The sequence below is a fragment of the Homo sapiens genome, chromosome 1 (genome assembly GCF_000001405.40).
Source record: "Homo sapiens chromosome 1, GRCh38.p14 Primary Assembly".
Taxonomy (NCBI): Eukaryota; Metazoa; Chordata; class Mammalia; order Primates; family Hominidae; genus Homo; species Homo sapiens.
The window spans coordinates 19,637,734-19,659,263 of record NC_000001.11 but is presented as its reverse complement, the minus strand read 5'-3'; the positions used below and the strand labels follow the sequence as shown (position 1 = coordinate 19,659,263).

The following is a 21,530-nucleotide window of genomic DNA, read 5'->3' as shown; positions in this document are numbered from 1 at the left end:
CACAGGATGAAGGCAGGTCCTGCCCAAGACTGTGCCGCCATTAAGTGTCCAGGTGTGAGGTCAGGAGTCAAGGGAACTGCGAGTTTATACGAGTCACCTGTGCTTCCAGACCCCCAGTTTCCCACTCGGTAGAACAAAGGTGAAATGTCCTACTATGGACTTGTTCAATGATCAAATGAGTGCTGGCATGCCCAAACTTGGTGTGGGCCCTGAGCCGATGCCTGGGTTCCAGTCCTGCTGACATTTCTTCACTGCATAACCCTGGGAAACTTACTAGCACCTGCTCTTCAGATGCCTCATCTACAAATTGAGGACAATATCCGCATCACTGGGAGGTGGTGCGGACTGGGCGAGGACCCTGCACAGGGCCCAGCCTTATATATTAATCTGTAACCAATACTTTTGTCTGTTTCCCCTTCTCCCAGGGGGCCAGGCAGGCCAGGCCCAGGCAAGGGCTGATCCTGGGCCATTGTGTGGGTGAAGAGATGGCATGAGGCAAGCCCACAAGACCAGGGGCCAAAATCCATGAAGCCCAGTTCTGGAGGCCCACCCAAGGTGTATGCGAGGCCAGAAACTGGCACCCAAGGAAAGACATGAAAGCTGGGGAGACAGAGGATCAGGAGCCAGGGGTGCACAGGGCAAGACAGGGAGAGGGCCACAAGGATGCAGAGACAGTGGTGCCGCGTGGGGGCCAGGCAGGCCTGCTCAGCACCCCACTGCCCGAGCCCAGGCCCTGCTGCCTCTGGGCCTCGCTGCCGGCACTTCTGGAGAACCTGGGTCGGCAGAGCCAGTCAGTGAGGAGGAGAACACAGGCGTTGAAGGAATTTATTCATGAGAAGACTGAGGGTCCATCAGGGAGACTGTCCAATGGTGACAAGCTCCAGAAGCCCGCGTCGCAACAGCCAGGAGGGCCAGGCCACCCCAGGCAGGAGGCAGTGGGCTGGCAGCCACCCTGGGCACAGAAGAGCAGACGCAGACAGTGCTGGGCAACGAGGGGCTTTCTTCATGGGCCCGCCTGCCCTGTCCCTCCCCCCAGGTCCCCACCTTCTAGGGTTAAAGTGCAGCTGGGAGGGAGGAGGCAGGCAGAATTGGGGAGCTAGAGAGAGCCCAAGTGAACCCTGACTGTCCACGCAAGTCCCATGTCCTCCTCGTCCTGGAGTTCCTCGAGGTTCAGCGAGCCCATCCCGCCTAGGGCCTCTGGAACCTTGGGGCGAGGGAGGTAACCCCTCACTCCCACACCCATCCGATATTTACAAAGAGCATCCCTGGGAGAGGGGAGAAGGCGGCCGGCTCTGGCAGCTTTCTGGGGGGCCTAGAACTTGGGGCACAGTGCGGGGCACTAACATTTCTAACAGGGAGAGGAGGGGGATGCTCGTCTTCAGGGATGGTCTTGGGGGGTTGTCCCCCTCCTTCTGGCCTTGGAAGACTCTTCCCTTTCCTTCTTCCCCTCCTCCCCTTCCCCCACCAGGCAAGCCAAGGAAGCCAGAGAAAGGCCCGGAGAGCCTGGCTCCCAGCTCCCGCGCCACGAGTCAGCAGGGTCCTGCCCAGGCCTGACTCCCAAACCCCTCCGCTGAGGGAGGGCCACTTCAGTGCCACTGGGGCGACGCTTCCCTGGAGATGGGAAGTGGGGTGAGAGGCCTTGGGGAAACCTGTGGGCCGGAGCCTCCTGTTTCTGCCAGTGGTCTTTCTAGCCCAGCCCTCCCTCAAGCCTGAGGCTGGCAAGATGCTCACACTAAGCCCGGGACCTCAGCAGTACCATCTGCACCCCCAGGGACCTTAGCCCGATTCATGCCATCTTGGATGGCCTCCCCCAGCACTCAATGGCTCAGCCAACTTCCTCCCCCTCCCACAGGCACATCTCTAGAAGCCAGACAGGAAGAGACCACCCCCCCCAAAAAAAGAGCCCTGAAGACCTCTGCTTCCTCCCCCCACTCTTGAATATATTAAATTGTGCAGCTTGGCTCTAACCCCGCCCCTTCAGATCTCCATGGCAACCGGGCAGCATTCAAGTCCGAGTCTGAAGCCAAGTCCATCCAGTGCCAAAGGGGGGCTTCAGCTTCTCCCCTGACTTCCCCAGAGAGTGAGACCCAACATTCCACAGGGGGATGAGAGGGGAGGAAGAGTTGGGGGGGCCTCAGTCCTCAGCCCCCTCTTCCTCTGTGTGGGGGGCCCCAGGGGGGTCCTCGGGCTCAGGGGTCTGCCCGCCAGGATGGGGGTGGGGATGGGGGTGAGGGTGGGTGCCGGGCTGGGATCCCGGCCCGTCCTCGCCCTGCACATAGACGCTCAGCCCCTCGTGACTAGGCTCCTTGCCGCAGGCCTGGCAGCTACAGTGCAGGATCTTCTCCACCAGCTTGTCCACCCTGGGCACCTCCTCGTGGCCCGGGCACTCCAGCGTCACCTGCAGAGGGCAAGAGAGAAGCAGAGGCATGTTCCCAAAGGTCTGGGGCAGGCAAGGCAGCCCCTAGGGTAATACTTCCTCATGGGATCAAGAATCCCAGAGCCCACCTGTGATGCCCAGTTAGCTCTGGGGTCCCATGGGGAGGGGGAAATTGAACCCCTGCACAAGCCACCAGAGCTGTCTCCTCACATCCAGTCCTGCCACCTTCCCACCCATTCCCCACCAGCAGCCACCAGTGTGGCCTGCCCCTGCTAAAATCGCCCCCACCGCCGCGATCCCCCTGCACTTGGAGACAAACCCTGACCCCTCACTAAGGCCACCCAGGACCTTCAGGTGCCACCAGCTGGCTGGCCCCCCTACCCCTGACCCTGCACCACTCTTACCAATCCTGTGCTTGGGCTCTGCCTCAGGGACTCCGCACATGCTGTTCCCTTTGCCTGGAAGGTTCCCCCCACCCACCCCCCTATCCCCGCCGACTACCACATGCCCTAAACTGCGCCTTTGGGTCTGAGCTCAGACTTCACTTCCTCAAAAGAGCCCCACCCCAAAGCCCAGCCCAGCTGAGGCTCACCCTGCAGGAACCCCATCTACCTCCTACTCTGCCCCTATCATCACCCATCTAAGTACCTTTTTTCCTTCTCCCTCCCTTCCTCTCTTCCTTCCTCCCTTCCACAGAGCGCCTACCCTGTGCCAGCTCTGGGGACACAAAGACACATTTCCTTCAAGGAAATCAGAGTCTAGTGGGGGAAACAGATCTGTCAAAATCACCCGGATGCAGGTGGAAGACTGCAGGTGTGAAAGGTGCTTGAAGCGGAGGCATACTGTGCTCTGAGAGCCAACGGTACCAGGGTGTGCCCCAGTCAGGGGGCCTGGAAAGGGGCCCTGAGGAAACGCTGCTTGGGCCAAGGGCAGAAGAATGAATAGAAGTGAACTAGAGAAAGGGGACAGAGGTGGTGTTCCAAGCAGGGAAAAGAACAGGTGCAAGGGCCCTGGGGTAGAAGCGAACGGAGCAGGTGCGAGGCACTGAAAGAAGGTGGCTGTGTTAAGCGTCAAGCTACTAAGGAAGGCAGGAAGCAGGAGGAGGCTGGAAAGGCCACTGAGCCAGGCCATGCCAGGTTCTCGGGACAGGGCAAAGATTTTGGTCTCATCCTATAACAACAGGAAGCCCCTGAAAGGACTTCAGCCCATGAGAGACATCAGAATGGAACTTCGGGAACATCCCTGTCCTGTACAAGTTGGTGTCAGACTTCTGAGCCATCCTGTGGGGAGGCCCACATTTGTATCCCCAGCACAAGCCCTTCACCCTGCACACAGTGGGGCCTTTCTAAGGCCCTGTGGCCATCTGCTGGAATACAGGAGCCTGGGGAGAAAGGCCAAGGCTGGGGCAGGCTCCGGGCCGAGACTGGGTGGGGCAGGCAGGCAGTACTCACAATCTCCCACATGGACTGGGCTGGCATGCAGGAGTCACAGTGAACCAGGGACTCTGTGGACTGTGGGAAGGTGTTGGGGACGCTGTAGCTGAAGCACTGTCCTAGGCACGCCCTGTGGGAGGAGAGGTCACCATGCCTGTGTCACTGTTGGGGAGGCAGGGATGGGCAGCCCTGGTCCTCTTCCTCCCTCCTTGGACCCCTGTCCGCATCCCCCCACCCACCCCTTGGGTCCCACCTGTTCTGGATGGACTTGGCCTCACAGCCGCTGTGGCCCACGATCTGGGTGATGTTCTTGGCTTCGCACCAGGCACTCTTATCTGGGAACAGTGCCAGCTTGTTGATGGGTGGTGGGGCAGCCAGTAGCATGGCAGGGAGGACAGCCCCCACCAGGACCCGAAGCATCATGCCCGTGGCCTCCAGAGCCCTAGAACGGAGCACAGGTGCCAGGTGAGGCACAGCAAGGTGCAGGGGGCCGGGTAGTGGTGTTACAGCATGGACTCTGGCATCCGACTCCTTGGCGCAACCCCAGCTCTCCCACTTACTAACCAAGTGCAACTTTGGACAAGTTATTTCTCCCCTCTGAATCTCACAATTGGAGCTGGGAGTGGTACCTACATCAGATGGGTATCTGGAAGGTCAGATGAGATATTAAATGAGCCTAGCAGATAATACACATTCCATATGTGTTGGTTGGTTTTACAACTTCCTAAATTGCCTTGAGCAAGTTACTTTTTATCTCGGTGCCTCGGTTTCTTCATCTAAAAAGGGGAGATGGTGCCACTGCCTGGCACAGGATTGCGATTACGAAGTGTTCAAGCACATGTCAAGTGCTGAACAATTACTACCTCCTTTCTCCCTTTGATGCTGTGAGTCACCCAGGAAAATACACAAAAAGCTGTCCACACAGCCCTGGAGGGGCTGGCCACACACCATGTCTCCTTGAAAGCTACTGCAACCATTGTCAGGATTCTGATGTTTGAAAAGTTAGCCTTAACCTTCACGTTGCTGTGATTTCTTTTTGGTTTTGTTTTTTGAGAAAAGATCTCACTCGGTCACCCACGCTGGAGTGCAGTGGCATGATCACGGCTCACTGAAGCCTCGACTTCCCTGGGCTCAGGTGATCCTCCCACCTCAGCCTCCCGAGTTGCTGGGACTACAGGCGTCCGCCACCACACCTGGCTAATTTCTGTAAAGACCAGGTTTCGCCGTGTTGCCCAGGCTGGTCTCAAACTCCTGGGGCTCAAGCGATCTTCCTGCTTCAGCATTCCAAAGTGCTGGGATTACAGGCGTGAGCCACCGCACCTGGCCTGCAGTGAATTCCTGGGCCACCTTGGCTGGCCAGACCTCAGGCAAAAAAACTGACCCTGAACCAGACAGTATTGTTCTCTAAGATGCCTCACCAGAAACTCGAATCCACAAGGGCTCTACACAGATCACTGTCCCCAGCCCCATTCTAACACGTGAGTCAAGCGGGAGCCAATCAAAGCTAAGCACTTGGCCATTTGCAAATTCCCCTGCTATAGGATGGAGTGAGATACTAAAACAATACCAGGATCTGCCAAAAGGTGGCGCTGCAGGGCAGTCTGTGTCAAAGGATTCCGCTTTCAGGAGACTCGCCCCAGGTAAGTTTCACCCATGCCCCCCAGTGCAAAAAGCACGGGAGAGGGAGGCTTCAGAGATGAGGGCAGTGCCTTCTTCAAGGAGGCCCCCAAACCCTCGGAGGACGGCACAGCCGAGAAAGGGCATGGGTCCACGTGTGCTGGGTGACCGGGACACTCAGACCTGTTTCCCCACCACCTGTAAAATGAGTGCAGTGAGCCAGGCCAGTGGTTCCCAAACCTGAAATTTGATCAGAATTCCCTAGGAACTTGTGGAGTAAAAGTTCTAGGGTGGGTAGGAGTCTGCGTTTTGATCAGGCTTCCTAGGCAGCTATGCGCTCAGTCAGGGATTCTTTACCTTGGGACAGTCCCTAGAGGGGCCTGGATGAGGCTAAATCAGGAGGAAGAGGGGACAAGTCCTGGTCCCAGTGGCCCCACAGAAGCCCAGCACCAGGAGTCAGGTGGCTTGGGACTGGGCATCCCATTTAGGACAATCCTACCATGGGCCATGGAGATGGCAAAGCCAGGTACTTTTTTTTTTTTTTTTTTTTTGAGACGGAGTCTCGCTCTGTTGCCCAGGCTGGAGTGCAGTGGCACGATCTCTGCTCACTGCAAGCTCCGCCTCCTGGGTTCACGCCTTCTCCTGCCTCAGCCTCCCGTGTAGCTGGGACTGCAGGCGCCCACCACCATGCCCCACTAATTTTTTGTATTTTCAGTAGAGACGGGGTTTCACCGTGTTAGCCAGGATGGTCTCGATCTCCTGACCTCGTGATCCGCCCGCCTCAGCCTCCCAAAGTGCTGGGATTACAGGTGTGAGCCACTGCGCCCGGCCTTACTTATCTATTTTTTTGAGACAGAGTCTCACTCTGTCGCCCAGGCTGGAGTGTCATGGCATGATCTTGGCTCACTGCAACCTCCGCCTCCCGGGTTCAAGTGATTCTCCTGCCTCAGCCTCCAGAATAGCTGGAATTACAGGCATTCGCCACCACACCTGGCTGATTTTTGTATTTTTAGTAGAGATGGGGTTTCACCAGGTTGGCCAGGCTGGTCTCAAACTCCTGACCTCAAGTGATCTGCCCACCTCGGCCTCCCAAGGTGCTGGGATTACAGGTGTGAGCCACTGCACCCAGCCCAGAGCCAAGTACTTTATAAAGTGTCTGGGGAGCACGGGTCTAGAGGTGGGCTGGCTGAGTGGGGCTCCTGCAGGGCTGTGAACCCCTCCAAGCACTCCGCTCCCCATCCAGCAAGTTCCCCCAGCTCCTGCCCCTCTCCTGCAGGTCTCCATCTCAGGGGACCCCAATGCCGGGATAAGCCCCACTCCCAGCCCACTGGGGAGGAAGGGCAGCTGGAAGTGAGGTCGGACAGGCTGCCCCCCCGCCGCCTCCCAAATGAGTTCCTGTCACGATCCAGGCCCTCACCCACGCATTTCCGGTCTTGCTGACAAAGCCCATGTTTCCAGTACAACCACATCCTAACAAAATAGAATGGATTCCTCCCTAACTGGCAACCCAGTGAATTTTTCAACAAGCCTGGCATGCAGGCGGCTTCCTCACTCCTGAGTCAGGTCTGCCCACAGCACACCTGAAGGGTCCTGGAGGTCCATTTAAGGCCAGGGCTCCCTGGGCTGGACTGGCCCCCTAGACCCTTAGGAGAGGTCCAGGGACTCTTGTCCTCCTATATCTGACCCCATCTTGCTTCCTCAGGAACAACAGGTCACAGGGGGCCAGGGAGGTGACTGGGGCAGAAAGTGATGTGGATTTGGAATTGAGACTGGGGTTGTAATGCAAGTAGCCTGGGCCAGGCATGGTGGCTCACACCTGTAATTCTAGCACTTTGGGAGGCCAAAGCGGGAGGACCACTTGAACTCAGGAGTCCAAGACTAGCCTGGGAAGCAAAGTGAGACTTGGTCTCAAAATAAAATAAAATAAAATAAAATATTTTTTTATTATCACACTGTGATAACACATTTTTTATTATCACATTATGCATTGTGATGTGCACCTGTAGTCCAGCTATGTGGGAAGCTGAGGCGGGAGGATGGCTTGAGACCAGGCTTGGGGCTGCAGTGAGCCATGATTGCGTCCCTGCACTCCAGACTGGGTGACAGAGCAAGAACCTGTCAAAAAGGAAAGGGAAAAAAAGGACAGGAAAGAAAAGAGGGAGGGAGGCAGGGAGGGAGGGACAGAGGGAGGGAGGGAGGCTGGGGTGAGCACTTGGAGTTGGAATTAGGAGAGGTCACAACCGAGGCTGTGGGTCACAACTAGGCTGAAGCCGAGTGTTGAGACTGGGGTTGAGGCTAATGGAGGCTTACTGGGAAATGGGGTAATGGTGACTTTTTGGAAGAGGTTGCAGGCCCAGAGATCAGGAACTGGTTATCAGCGTCAGGCTGGGACAGAGGTTAGGAGAAATGAGACGAACTGAGGCAGAAGGCCCCCTCCTTACCTTCCACCCTTTCCAGTGCACAGCTGAGGTTATCACAGGGCCAGCTGTGTCCACAGAGGGGTGCTATAACCCAACCCACCAGGCCCTAGCAGGCTCTCCGCAGGGCGCTGGGGCCTCGGCCTCCCCGGGCCAGCAGCGTGGAGCTCCAGCATTTTCCCCGGGCTCCCCCTGGAAGCGTGGACCCTGGAGTCCCCAGTGTTTGAACTGCAGCCCCTCCCCTTAGGAGCTGTGTGACTCCAGAAATAAGTTCACTCCTCAGAAACTGCCTTTCTCAACCCTAACATGGGAAGCATTGCACCTTCCCTGGAGAAGAATTGGGAGGAGTAAATGAAGGTACTCAGCACCTAGGAGGCACCCACTAAGGTCAGCTCTCTTCCCCCCAGGGGATCATGGGAAAGGCTGGGCCAGCATCAGAGCCAAGGCTGGGCTGGAACAGGAGGCAGCGAGGATGCCAGATGAAGTCTCTCCCACACACGGCTGTCATCCAGACACACCTGCCTCCGCCCACCCTCCTGCCCAGCCCCGAAGAGCCCAGGCTGCCCCCACCGGTGGGGTGGGCTCTTGGCTAGCAGGTTTTCTTTTTTTGTTGGTTTATGCTTTTTTGTTGGTTTACGCTTTTTTGTTTTTTCAAGCAGCAACTAATCTATTTTTTTTTTTTAAGCAGCGATCGTACTTTCCTTCCTGAGCCTTGAGAGCCTCACCCAGATTCTCAACCCTTCCTCCCGCCCTGAAGGTCACACAGCAAGTCATGGGACTCCCCAAAAGCGAGGGCGGGAAGGAAAGTTGGAGATCTCCCAGCCAAGTCTCCCTGCTCTGCAAGGGGCTGTCCCAAGGCCCCCAGCAAGTCAGGCAAAGCAATGCCCTGCCCTGGGCCGTTCAGGGCCCTGCAGTTCCACACTCACTCACTTCTAGGAGGGTGGGGAGAAAGGCAAGGGTGAGGGCAGGGAGCTGGGGGCACAGACCCTATGCCCACTCAGACACTCCCCTGAGGGGAGGTCCAGGGATGTGGGTAAATAGGGGGCAGTTGTTTTGAGTTGGCACAGTCAGAGATGGCTCTCAGGAGGGAAGCAGAGGTTCTGAATTCTGAACTAAATATAAGAGCGCAACTATAGTCATGCGTCAGTTAGCCATGGGGATGCACTCTGAGAAATGTGCCATTAGGTGATAGAGTGAACTCAAACCTGAATAGTCTAGGCTATTACAAACCTAGGCTATATGGCATAGCCCATTGCTCCTAGGCTACAAATCTGGACCACATGTGACTGTACTAAATACTGTAGGTCACTGTAACACACACGGAGGCTGAGGCAGGAGAATGGCGTGAACCCGGGAGGCGGAGCTTGCAGTGAGCCGAGATCACGCCACTGCACTCCAGCCTGGGCGACAAAGCGAGACTCTGTCTCAAAGAAAAGAAAAGAAAAGAAAACGTAAAGTAGGCTAAGCATGGTGGCTCACACCTGTAATCCCAGCACTTTGGGAGGCCAAGGTGAGAGAATTGCTTGAGCTCAGGAATTCAAGACCAGCCTGGGCAACATAAGACGATCCCATCTCTACAAAAATTTAAAAACTAGCCAGGTGTGGTGGTGCATGCCTGTGGTCCCAGCTACTTGGGAGGCTGAGGTGAGAGGATCACTCGGTCCTGGGAGGTTGAGGCTGCAGTGAGCCAGGATCATGCCACTACACAATCATGAAAGAAAGAAAAGGTGTAGTAAAAATACAGTATTATAATTCTATGGGAGGCCAGGCGCAGTGGCTCACGCCTGTAATCCCAGCATTTTGGGAGATCGAGGTGGCAGATCACTTGAGGTCAGGAGTTCGAGACCAGCCTGGCCAACATGGCGAAACCCCGTCTCTACTAAAAATACAAAAACTAGCCGGGTGTGGTGGCACATGCCTGTAGTCCCAGCTACTCAGGAGGCTGAGGCAGGAGAATCACTTGAACCCGGGAGGCAGAGGTTGCAGTGAGCCAAGATTGCACCACTGCACTCCAGCCTGGGGGACAGAGCGAGACTTCATCTCAAAATAATAATAATAATAATAATAATAATTTTATGGCAGCACCATTGTGTACGTGGTTCATCATTGTGTGGTGTGTGACTGGATATTAATTTATTCTGTCCTATGATAACTGCCTGATCCTATTCTTTCCCCCATTTTTAGATGAAGAAACTGAGGCACAGAGAGGCCAAGAAATCTGCTTGGGCTTACACTGTTAGTAAACAGGAGAACCGGGATTTGAACCTGGAGGGTAGCAGGTTAACCCCCAGCTACCCTTGCAGGTCAAAAGGTTCACCGAAGAGAAAGAAGCAAGAAACGATGGAATCTGGAGTCAGGATGAGGCCTGGAGCTCCCACCACTGCCCCAGCCGACTGCGCCTCTCATTCCTGTTAACACCCTAGCGTTCAGCCACTGCCTGGACTGGAAGCTTGGGGGCTCCACAGACCAGAGTTCAAATCCCATTCCTGACTCCCTAGCCAACCGTCTTGTGGCCATGGCTGACCCTGGCTCTTGGAGCCCTGGTAAAGGTATGTGTGACACGATCCTCCCTCATGGGGGCGCCGTGAGGCTTTAAAGGAGGTGTCCTTGGCACAGGTGAGTGTCTTCCCAACCCCACCCACCCGCCACTCCCAAATCCAAGCCCTCCACTTCCTCAGCGGCCCTCTGCCAATGCCTGGTACATTCTGAGCTGCCGCCCACACAGAAAGGAAATTCCCCAGGAGGTGACAACAGCAGACCCATTTTGGCACCGTGGAAACTGAGGCACAGGTCAAGGAAGTGACCCACCCGTAGCTCCCACTCCGGGGAAGAGGGCAGGGAACAAACACAGCAGCCCTGCCCTGGTTGCTTTCCTGAAAGTCTTGGTCCAGAGGGTCCCCCAGGAAGGCCAGCTCCGGGGTCAGGCCTGTGACACCTCTTTCCTGAGATGCCTGCCAAAACTGAGACGCCGGGGCCCGGCCCTCCTCGTGTGACCCCGCCAGGTATGAGGCACGGCCTGGGCACCTGAATGTGCTCCCCACGGGACTCTGAGGCCCAGCCAGGCCAGGAGCAACGGCCTCCCAGCCCCCAGGAAAGGGGCTTCGATTAACAACGCTGCCACTGAGGCCCCCCAGCCCACTGCCTGGATTCCGGTACCTGGAAAGGCATCCTAAATGCACCCTAAATACACAGGAGTGGCCTAGATTTCAAGGAACACTTACTTCTTCCTGACTCCCGCCCACCGTGAAACCCTTTGTAGAGTGGATTAGCTTTGGTATAACAAGTGAACCATCCTCCCCAATTCCTCTTCTGGGTTAAGTCTGAATATTCAAGGTCACTCAAGGCCAGATATACCAGGATTTTCAAGGTAGAGTGTATCCACTCACCCCAGACCCACACACACACAAAAGCAGGCATACCCCAAACCACCTGTGCCCCCTATGAACGCAGAACACACAGACGCATATATAAGCATGCCTATATATGCACAAGAAAATGTACATCCGCACAAGCACGCACACACACGCGCGCACACGCACACACACACACACACGCACACACACACACACCAGGCCTTTCCTGTTACCGGTTCCAGCAACCACTCGGTGCAGAGCCGTGGAGGGCAGGGCTGACAAATCCTCGGTGGAAAGGGCAGGGCTCTCCCTCCCCATCTTCACCTCCTGCTTCCAGAACCTCCTCGGGGAACCTCCCCACACTTGGCCCCAGCTGATGGAGACGGACGATTCTACCTGTGGGCTCAGCATTCAGGTGACACCACAGTCCGCATGCACAACGAGCACGCAGCGTTTGTGGCTGGTGGCTTTCAAACCAGATGCTCCCCCTCCCCTGCCTCTCCCACCTTTCCTCTCCCCCCACACTCACTAAGGGCAGGGTCTGGCTCTCCTCCTCCATTCTCCACAATTATGACAGACTGGGGTTCAAATCTTAGCTCAGCCATTCTAATCTTTCTCTTTTTATCTTTATGTTTTTATTTGTAACAGGATCTCACTCTGTTACCCAGGCTGGAGCGCGGTGGCACAATCATAGCTCACATCAGCCTCAAACTCTGGGGCTCAAGTGATCCTCCCACCTCAGCCTCCAGAATAGCTGGTGGTACAGGCATACACCACCATGCCCAGCTAATTTTTTTGTATTTTTTGAAGAGACAAGGTCTCCCTTTGTTGACCAGGCTGGTCTTGAACTCCCACTTCAGCCTCCCAAAGCACTAGGATCACTTGGCCCCATTCTAACCTTTCTGTACCTCAGTTTCCTCATCTGCAAAGTGGGGACAGTGCTAATATCCAGCTCACAGGACAGCTGTGACAATTAAACTGAAGAATACATGGAAATCTCTGGAGAGATCGCCCATCATAGTTAATTCCTCAGTCCATGTCACTTTAAGTGCTAGCTTGGGCCTCTTATCCTCCCTGGCCTCTGCCTGCTCCCTTCTGCCCCTCGCTCCCACAGGATCCTCGGCAGGTCCTGAGGCTATTTCAGTCTGAGCTGCATCTGCCCCAGTGAAACTGGATTTAGGGAAAACCTTGAGGTGAAACTCCAGCAAGTGGGATGACAGCTGGGAATGGATTTTAGAAATTGTCAAGGGCCACCCAACATGATTCCCTATCTAAGGTGGGAACTGAGAGGAAGATCCCACTCAGACTCTAAGACAGGGTCGTGGAGACACCAGCCTCCTCCAGAATCCAACTTCAAGAAAACAGGCTGTGCCCCACTGCCAGGCTGAGCATGCTGCTGGGTGCAGAGGGTGTGGAGGGTGGCTGGGCTGCAGCCCTAGGCTTGGGGCTTGGCAAGGGCGGGGCGATCGCTCCAGGTCTTGAAATGAGCACAGGGACTTCCTTGAATGGTGCAACTGAAATTGTTGCTCTGTGAAGGGGCAAGGCAGTGTCAGGCTTGGGGCTCCCTGCTCACCCAGGTCAGGCCCCGGCTCTGGTCAGCCCAACCGGGTTTCCTGGGCTCACTCTGGGGTTTGAGGATGAGTTCTGGCCAAAGCTCATACATTGGCTTTCTGTGTGCCTGGAGTCAGGAGAGTCTAATGGTTATAGCTCGAGCCACTGACCATTTGCTTCCCCCCTCAGCTTCACGTTTGCATCTGTAAAATGGGCAGCCTGGCCTGGGAACGTCCATTTCAGCAGATCCCCCAGGGAGGAGCCTGGCTCCAGCATACTGCTTAAGGCCGCTGTGATTCCACGACCCCAGTCTCACGGCAGGGTGGCTTTTCCTTCCTTCCTTCAGCACTGGGGAGAGCATGAGTCAACTGTCCAGAGGGCGGACACACAGGGCCGACCCCGTGCCACCCAGGCCTGCCTGCATCTTCCAGCCCTGACCACCTCTGTGCCAGCCCCCAAACCCAGGCCACGGCCCTCCTTACCGCAGACCCTCCTGCCCGCAAACGAAAAACAGTCTCCAAAACAAATCCATGCTAATGAGCTGCTGCAGGGCCAGGCTGCACATCTGCTCAGCAGAAGTTCCACTGCAGACCTCACCAACAACCCTGCCCGCTCCGGCAGCCTCCGACCCTTGAGGTTGTGGGTGGGGGGAAGCAGCTAAACTCAGCCTGAAATTTCACTTTAAAATAATGAGGCGATATCCCTGGCCGATGCAGAACACCTACTCCCCTGTCCACCCCTCCAAAACACAGGCCCGGGAGAGAGGTCCAGCTTGCAGGGGTGGGTGGAGAGGGGTAGGGGTCACCGAGGAAACGCTGCAGCCTCGCCTTTTCTTTGGCCCCAACTCAAGGCAAACCACGCCCAAGCAGCCCCAGCATCTGGGGGAGTCTAGGGAGGCCCCATTCCGCAGTAACAAAGGGTGAGGGGCTCCTTGTTGACAAATTGCTTCCCCGCCAGCGCCCGGTCTTTGGCCTCCAGCCCTGACCTCTGTTTTCCTGGGGTGCCCCTAGTTACAGGCTGGTGGCGTCCAGCTTGGGGAGCGAGGGCCTCCGAAAGCCTGGAAGTGTGGCTTTCTCCCTTGATGCCCGCCAACCTCCGGCCACGCCAAGGCAGGCGGCTGCCCCCTTTGCCGCCGCTTGTAAACGATCAGAATCGCCCCGCCCTGGGAGCGGGCCGGGCAGGTGGCCCGCAGCAGGGCCTGTCGTCCAGCCGGCCTCGCGGGGGTGGAATTCTTAAGAAAACTGAGCCCCCGGAAAGGCTGGCTCTCCCTGCCCCAGACTCAATTCCAGGGAGATGACCCGGGCCAGGCCTCGGGGCCGGCGGGAGGCAGGGGGAGGGTTTGCCGCACCCGGTCTAGGAAACTATTCGTGAACCCCGCTGGGGGAAGGCGAGCCTCCGACACTGGGGGATTGTCTGGATCGGAGGGCGGGGGATCAGGGAGAGGCGCAGACACAGGGCGAGACCCCCACAGAGGGCAGCGCAGAGACAGAGAGAGGGAGAGAAAAGCCAGAGGCAGAGACACAAACGCGGGCAGCCGAACACGGAGGCAGGCGGGGAACGGAAAGAGACGGGCAGACCAGGGGAAAGTGAGCGGCGGAAACGGAGCGACGGAGAGACAGACACACGGACGTGGGGACCGAAGCAGAGGGGGCCGCGGGAGGCGGAAACGTCCAGAGCCGAGAGGCGCGGCGCGGCGAGGCCCGGGCACGGCCGGGGGACATGCGAGCCCGGCCCGCCCGGCCACGCATCTCCCTCCCTCGCTCCCTCTCTCCCCCGGCCGCGGAAACTCCGATCCAGAAACGGAACCCTGGGGCGAGTCTGGGGACGGGCTCCGGACGCGGCGGTGCCCCCCGGCCACCCCGTGCCGCGCCCACGTCCCCAGCGCCGGCGTCCGGAGGCGCCCGCCAGGTCCCCCAGGGCTCCTGAGCTCGGCGGCGGCGCCTCCACCCGGTGCCCGCGGCCGCCGGACGCGCCGGGGGACGCAGCTCCGGGCTGGGGGCGCGGCACTGCCCCCGCGGCCGAAGCCTCTGGAAGCCGGGCGCCCGCGTGCCGACCCGGGCGGGACTTACCGCGCGCGCCCGCCGGTCCTGCGGAGCTGGGTGCGGGGGTCGCGGGCCCGGGCGCCCCAGGAGGCTCGGCGAGGCGGCCGGCAGGGCGGGGGGCGGCCCCGCGACGCTCGGCTGGGCTGCGCTGCGCGCTGTCTGCGGCCCCGGGCGGGCGCGCGGCGCGGGGGAGCGGCTCCGACGTCAGGGTGGCTCCCTCCAAACAGGGCGCGAGGGCGGGGGCAGCGGGGAGGGCCGCGCGCAGAAAGAGCGGGCGGGCGCGCGCGGCCTCTCCCTCCGGGTGCGCAGGAGGGGGCGCCGCGGCGGCAGGGGCCCCGGGCCCTCTCCTGGCCCGCCCGCCCCGGGCTGAGCTTCGGCGCGCTCCGACGGCGTGGTGGGGCGGCCGGGACGCCTGGCCGGCGCCCGAGAGGCAGGGCAGCCCAGCCGGGCGCCCTGGCCCGTTCTTAAGCGCCCTCCCCGGGTTTCTCTGCGCTTCCACTCTCTCCGCCCGACTTTTACCGAGCCTGGGCCGTCAGGCCGTGCCAGGCCTCGGGGTGACAAAGATGGATGTGTCCTTTTTGTGGGCACCGGGCATTGCAGACTTGCCCCGAGAGTGGGGCGCCCCAGCCCGCCGCGTCCCGGCACCAGGAGTCCCCAGTTCTGCGGTGCACCTCATCCCGTCCGCTCCGGCATGCGACCCGGTTCAAGTCCGTGCTGTTGGTAGCCTGGGTTGCTCAGCCTTGCCTAGTGTTATCCTAGTGTCGCTCTCGGCCCCACGCCCTTGGCTTAAGCATCCCGAAAAGCCCCAGGGACTTATTAGGAACTAAAAAGCCAGCAAATGAACTCACTTCTCTGACTCCTGGGAAGAGTGGAGCTCCTGGCCCCAGCTTCCAGCCTCACCTCGGGGGTTCCTATCTAATCAGTGGGCACTTGGGTGGATTGCGGCCGTACCTTCTCTATTCTGTGTGCTTAACAACGGGGTGAGAAAATAACTTTGCTTCTGGAAAGTGGTGGCCCAGGGACACCACTGGGACACGATTGTAGGACTTGGGGATTTTGCTTTACAGCATAGTTACCTGTGTCCATGTGTTTTACCTAGCTTGGCTGGAAACTTCCAGATAGACACAGCCCTGCTTGTCTGACTCATGAGGTTGCCGGGCATCCTGGGTGGCTCCTAGTGGCCTGCTGGGAACTCCCTGGTGTACTCCAGCCTACTCGCACCCTCCACACCCAGCCTGCATCTGCGCCTCCTAGCTGTTGCCTGCGCCCTTCCCTCTGCCCGGAATTCCCTTCCCCTCCTTTCATCTCTGGCAAACATTCTTCCAGCTCCAGATTGGAAAGCCTTCCCAAGACCCTTTGGGAGCATCTCCCTCCTCCAGTGTGATCCTGGAGCACAGGATGAGAACTTCTGTTCATGTCAATTTCCCTCTAGAATAACTGTGTACATCTCTTGGGCAAACATTCTTCCAGCTCCAGATTGGAAAGCCTTCCCAAGACCCTCTGGGAGCATCTCCCTCCTCCAGTGTGATCCTGGAGCACAGGATGAGAACTTCTGTTCATGTCAATTTCCCTCTAGAATAGCTGTGTACATCTCTTTCCTCCATTAGACCTTGAGGGCAGGAATCGTGTTTATTTCAGTGTCTCCATTGCTTATGGGCAGGCCAGGTGAGATGTACAATGTATTTGGTTGAATGAAGTTGTTGTTGTTGTTGTTGTTGTTGTTATTATTATTATTATTAGAGACAGAATTTTGCTCTTGTTGCCCTGGCTGAAATGCAATGGCGTGATCTCGGCTCACTGCAACCTCTGCCTCCCAGGTTCCAGCAATTCTCAGCCTCCCGAGTAGCTGGGATTACAGACGCCCACCACCACGCCCAGCTAGTTTTTGTATTTTTAGTAGAGATGGGGTTTTGCCATGTTGCCCAGGCTGGTCTCCAACTCCTGGCCTCAAGTGATCCTCCCGCCTCAGCCTCCCAAAGTGTTGGGATTATAGGCATGAACCACCACGCCCAGCGAATAAAGTAATTATTATCCCCCATTAATGTAGCACAGATAGGTCTTCCCTTAATGGTAACTATGACCGTTATAATAGTTCACACATATTGAGCACCTTACCATGTGCCTCATCCCATTGCAAGCTGTTGCCACTCTCACAATAAACCTATGAGGTAAGTATTGTCTCTGTTTTAAAAGTGCCAGGCGCAGTGGCTCATGCTTGTAATCCCAGCACTTTGGGAGGCCAAGGCAGGAGGATCACTTGAGGTCAGGAGTTCGAGACCAGCCTGGCCAATATGGCGAAACCCTCTCTCTACTAAAAATACAAAAATCAGCCAGGTGTGGTGGCGTGTGCCTGTAGTCCCAGCTACTCGGGAGGCTGAGGCAGGAGAATCACTTGAACCTGAGAGGCGGAGGTTGCAGTGAGCCGAGATCGCACCACTGCACTCCAGCCTGGGAGGCAGAGTGAGACTCCATCTCAAATAAATAAATAAATAAACAAACAAACAAATAAAATAATAAAAGTGAAAAAAATCCCGAGGCTGGAGGATCACTTGATCCCAGGAGTTTGAGGCTGCAGTGAGCTATGATTGTGCCACTGTACTCCAGCCTGGACAACATTGCAGAAGGCTAATTGTGGAACCTAATGAGCTTGTCACTCCAGCAAGGCCTTGTCTCAAAAAAAAAAAAAAAAAGTGAAAAAAGGAACGTCAAGAGAAAGGTTAAGTAACTCGCCTAAAGTCACACAGTAAGAGCCCATGCCAGCTAGTGTCTGTTGGATAACTATATACCATGTACGGCAGAAACCAGCCTCACTGCACTGTACACAGTAGACACTCAGGAAATATTTACCATTTTGCAGCCAAAGCTTACCCCCGCCATCTTTCATGCAGACCCCGAGCAGGGTAGAAAGTAGAGTTCTACATTTTGTAAGAATCCACTCCCACATTGCAGAAAGCTAATTGTGGAGCCTGATGAGCTGGTCAGATCACACATAGAGCCAGGAGTAGAAGCCACAACTTCCAGCCAGTGCCCTTGACAGGGCAGCCCACCATCTCTCAAACACCGGGAGGTTCAAGAACAACACCAACCCCCTAATCAGGGACAAAGGGTTTGGAGTTGAGTCACCATCTGTCTGGTGACGGGAAAGCTACAGTGTGGGCAGGGGGCCTGGGAAGTAACTTGGTAGTAATATCTACCCATTTTGTGCCAGGCATTATGCTGGTCACTCTGTCTGCTTCATCTCCTCTAATCCTTACCACAGTCCCATCATTGTTCCCATTTTACAGGTAAGAAAAATCGAGGCACCAAAATGTGTCATTACCTGCTCAAGACCACATTGCTAGTGATTAACAAAGCCTGGACTTGAGCCCAGACCTGTCAACACCAAAGTCCATGCTTCCTTGCCCACCACACCCTCTCCACCCTCTCGGCTGCCTCAGTGCTCCTCCCCATCAGGCTGCAGCAGGGATGCTGCACTGAAGATGGACCCCAGGGGCCCCAGCGGGAAAGGCAGAACCTGTCACGTCAGAGTGTCCCAGCTCGAGCAGATGCACCTGGTTGGCAGTGGTGTTCCAGCTGCCCCTACAGGCCTGGCTGGCACAGGGCATGGGCCTGAGGCCAGAGCCTCCTGGCCCTGGGCCAGCCTCTTGGGGCCGAGGTAATGTGGGGCCCAGAGCTGGGGCTCAGGGCTAAAAGCCCCTCTCCCCAGCTCATTAGCAAACATCTGGGCTCAGGAAAATGACCGACCTGGAATGTGACTGAGCTGTGGGGAGCTGCTCTCTCCCAGAGTCCGGGAATGTGAGCTCCCTCCTGCAGGGCACGGACTCAGCCCAGCTGTTTCCTCTAATCCTGTCAGTCTGGCCTCAACGGGGGTCCAAACCTCTGCACTCTCGCTGGAGAAATAGAATGAAAACAAGCAAAAGGCCTGTCTTCCCAGTCCAGCCCACTGAACAGAGGGTTGGTACACAGTCCCTCTCTTTTTATGATAAAGATGAGAGCGTTCACACCTCCAGGTATGGAGCTGGGAGGAGCCATTCGGACTCATCAGGGGAGGCTCAGGGTTTACATTGTTCCTGCATCGCCCTCTGACTCTGTGCTAGTTGTTTCACACCTGGGCCTTGGTTTCCTTATCTGTAAAATGCAGTTAGTAGTGCTATGTACTCCATAGATTTGTTGTCTGGAGTCATTCATTTATCCAACAAATACTTATTGTGCCTGTTATGTGCCAGACATGCACAGAGGTGTTGAGGACACAACAACAGACTAGACCAATAAGGTCCCAGCCTCCAAGGAGCTTATGTTCTGCCACACCCAGGCAGATTGTGCAACAGATAAACAGATGAGTGGATCTCACATAACCAATGTGTTCTGAAGGTTCCAGGTTCAGTTGTTTAATATTTATTTAAAAGAGCCAGGCGTGATGGCTCACGCCTGCAATCCCAGCACTTTAGGAGGCCGAGTTGGGTGGATCATTTGAGGTCAGGAGTTCAAGACCAGCCTGGCCAACATGGTGAAACCCCGTCTCTAATAAAAAGACAAAAATTAGCCCGGTGTGGTGGTACGTGCCTGTAATCCCAGCTATTTGGGAGGCTAAGGCAGGATAATTGCTTGAACCTGGGAGGCGGAGGTTGCAGTGAACCGAGATCATGCCAGAGCACTCCAGCCTGGGTGATGGAGTGAGATTCTGTCTCGAAAAATAATCATCATAATAATATTTATTTAAAAGAAAAAAAGGAGAGGCCAGGCGTGGTGGCTCATGCCTGTAATCTCAGCACTTTGGGAGGCTGAGGCAGGTGGATCACCTGAGGTCAGGAGTTCAAGACCAGCCTGGCCAACACGGTGAAACCCCATCTCTACCAAAAATACAAAATTAGCTGGGTGTGGTGGTGCGTGCCTGTAATCCCAGCTACCTGGGAGGCAGAGGTTGCAGCGAGCTGAGATCGCACCATTGCACTCCAGCCTGGGTGACAGAGCGAGACTCTGTCTCCAGAAAAAAAAAAAGAAAAAAAGGAGAAAAAGTATTATGAACGAACTAAGCCAGAGGGGGCGATGTGATGGGGGAGGTATGAACTCACTGAGAAGCCTCAGAAAACGTCGCAAAGAGGTGACACTTAAGGTGAGATTATAATGAGATGGAGCAAGGATTCAAGGAGATAAATGGATGCAAAGCTCTCGGCACAGTTCCTGGAAAATAGCACGTGCTCCATAAAATGAAAGCTATTTCAGGGAGGTTTCATATATATAGCTCAGGAAAGGTGCTGGAGTCAGATGCCCTGGATCAAATCCAGGATTCAGCACAAAGCTTTCTCACCTTACTCCAGTAATGCATCTCTTGAGCCTCAGTTTCCTCATCTGGAAAACAGGAATTGTAATAGGACCCATCCCCAGGATCACCCAGAATTCACTGAGAGACGTGAATGTGAGGCACAGAGCCGGCACACGCTTGGCTCTCAGGAAGTGGTAGTTACTATGGTGGGTTGTTTGTTTGTCTGAGGTGGACTCTCGCTCTGTCACCCAGGTTGGAGTGCAGTGGCGCGATCTCCGCCCACTGCAACCTCCACCTCCCAGGCTCATGAGATCCTCCCACCTCAGCCTCCTGAATAGCTGGGACTACAGGCATGTGCCACTACGCTCGGCTAATTTTTGTATTTTTAGTAGAGATGGGGTTTTACCATGTTGGCCAGGCTGGTCTCAAACTCCTGACCTCAGGCAATCTGCCCACCTCGGCCACCCAAAGTGCTGGGATTATAGTCATGAGCCACTGAGCTCAGCTATATTATCCTTTTTCATAGAGGAAAAAAGGATTTGCCCAGATCCACTCAGCAAGTCAGCAGAACATCCAGGACCAGAAACAGGTGTTCTGACTTTGAGCCCATCCACCTGGGCTGTGTCCTCTAGCCTCTTCCTCCCTGCTGGTGGGCTCAGGAAACCTTGGGCCCCATTTTGGACTCAGAAGACTCAGAAGGAGAAGGTGGCCATGCACTGTGAGTTCCACAGTACGGAGCCTGTGCTGTCAAGGATTGCAGAGGGTCTTGGCCTGGACGGGAGAGCAGGAATGAGGCCCCAAGGACTCCATGGGTCCTTGGCCCCATGGAAAAATGTCAAATGTTCTTTGTAGGGTCAGATACAGTGGCTCATGCCTATAATCCCAGCACTTTGGGAGGTCGAGGCAGGAGGATCACTTGAATCCAAGAGTTCGAGACCAGCCTGGACAACATAGCAAGACCCTGTCTCTAAGAAAAAAAAGAAAAAAACTAAAAATTAGCCAGGTGTGGCGGCATGTGCCTGTAGTCCCAGCTACGTGGGAGGCTGAGGTTGGAGGATCTCTTGAGCCCAGGAGTTAGAGGCTGCAGTGAGCTATGATTTTACCACTGCACTCCAGCCTGGGTGACAGAGAAAGAACCTATCTCAATAAATAAATAAATAAACAAACAAAATAAAATAAAATAATAAAATACTATTTGTAGGTAGGGTGAGACACCAAGAATCAAGAAGGGAAATCAAGGCACTTCACTCCTCACTTGTTTTCTTCTTTCCTGTGACGCCCCACATGCTGCCGAGCTGAATTCACTGTTTCCTTCAGCTGTGGTTGTCTGACCCCACGGTAACAGACACAGCCTCCGTGTGACAGCACCGGGACGGGGCTCTCAGGAAAGGGCCTGGCGCCTGCAGGTCCTCCACAAAGCTGTTGCCAGCACCCTGGCCCCCATGGTAAATATGGTGAACAAGGCTGCCATGGTGAT

At 56.0% G+C, this 21,530-nt stretch overlaps 2 protein-coding genes across 10 annotated transcripts in view, besides 5 other annotated features; both read right to left on the bottom strand.

Moving 5' to 3' along the window:
- Nucleotides 1–811: 811 nt before the first annotated feature.
- Nucleotides 812–16,035, bottom strand: NBL1 (NBL1, DAN family BMP antagonist). Of its 8 annotated transcripts, none has more exons than NM_182744.4 (4): nt 15,867–16,035; nt 4,064–4,252; nt 3,829–3,940; nt 812–2,398 (listed from the first exon to the last, which is right to left on the bottom strand). In NM_182744.4, the coding sequence occupies exons 1-4, from the start codon at nt 15,950–15,952 to the stop codon at nt 2,135–2,137; spliced, it is 651 nt and encodes a 216-aa protein (NP_877421.2). In that variant the 5' UTR covers nt 15,953–16,035; the 3' UTR covers nt 812–2,134. The 8 variants fall into 8 exon arrangements, with proteins under 8 accessions (NP_877421.2, NP_001265093.1, NP_001265094.1 ...); NM_001278164.2 differs by having other exon boundaries at nt 15,886–16,035; NM_001278165.2 differs by lacking the exon at nt 15,867–16,035 and adding an exon at nt 15,639–15,855.
- Nucleotides 812–21,530, bottom strand: part of MICOS10-NBL1 (MICOS10-NBL1 readthrough) — a 61,474-nt gene continuing 40,755 nt past the window's right edge. For both annotated transcript variants that reach the window (NM_001204088.2, NM_001204089.2), the window contains 3 exons: nt 4,064–4,252; nt 3,829–3,940; nt 812–2,398 (listed from right to left, as the gene is read on the bottom strand). In NM_001204088.2, coding sequence (NP_001191017.1) covers nt 2,135–2,398; nt 3,829–3,940; nt 4,064–4,252 — 565 coding nt within the window. In that variant the 3' untranslated portion in view covers nt 812–2,134. The remainder of the gene's footprint in view (nt 2,399–3,828; nt 3,941–4,063; nt 4,253–21,530) is intronic.
- Nucleotides 5,232–5,371: a silencer, noted in NCBI's record as "silent region_359". NCBI's record gives its function as "represses an Ori minimal core promoter by ATAC-STARR-seq in GM12878 lymphoblastoid cells {active_cell/tissue: GM12878}" and the evidence as "EXISTENCE:reporter gene assay evidence [ECO:0000049][PMID:35858748]".
- Nucleotides 8,222–8,839: an enhancer, noted in NCBI's record as "H3K4me1 hESC enhancer chr1:19976919-19977536 (GRCh37/hg19 assembly coordinates)". NCBI's record gives its function as "activates a minimal SCP1, AML or CMV promoter by ChIP-STARR-seq in naive H9 embryonic stem cells {active_cell/tissue: H9 hESC(naive)}" and the evidence as "EXISTENCE:reporter gene assay evidence [ECO:0000049][PMID:30033119]".
- Nucleotides 14,868–15,207: a silencer, noted in NCBI's record as "silent region_358". NCBI's record gives its function as "represses an Ori minimal core promoter by ATAC-STARR-seq in GM12878 lymphoblastoid cells {active_cell/tissue: GM12878}" and the evidence as "EXISTENCE:reporter gene assay evidence [ECO:0000049][PMID:35858748]".
- Nucleotides 14,868–15,941: a biological region, named in NCBI's record as "H3K27ac-H3K4me1 hESC enhancer GRCh37_chr1:19969817-19970652".
- Nucleotides 15,106–15,941: an enhancer, noted in NCBI's record as "H3K27ac-H3K4me1 hESC enhancer chr1:19969817-19970652 (GRCh37/hg19 assembly coordinates)". NCBI's record gives its function as "activates a minimal SCP1, AML or CMV promoter by ChIP-STARR-seq in naive H9 embryonic stem cells {active_cell/tissue: H9 hESC(naive)}" and the evidence as "EXISTENCE:reporter gene assay evidence [ECO:0000049][PMID:30033119]".

What these genes read in the sequence shown, in the direction of transcription:
- NBL1 (NM_182744.4), bottom strand. Translation starts at nt 15,952, where the DNA reads ATGCCCGGCAACCTCATGAGTCAGACAAGCAGGGCTGTGTCTATCTGG. An exon ending in GGTAAAACACATGGACACAG is followed by an intron (nt 4,253 to 15,866) that starts GTAACTATGCTG and finishes GCTCCGTTCTAG; the next exon opens with GGCTCTGGAGGCCACGGGCA. An exon ending in GCCAAGTCCATCCAGAACAG is followed by an intron (nt 3,941 to 4,063) that starts GTGGGACCCAAG and finishes CTCCTCCCACAG; the next exon opens with GGCGTGCCTAGGACAGTGCT.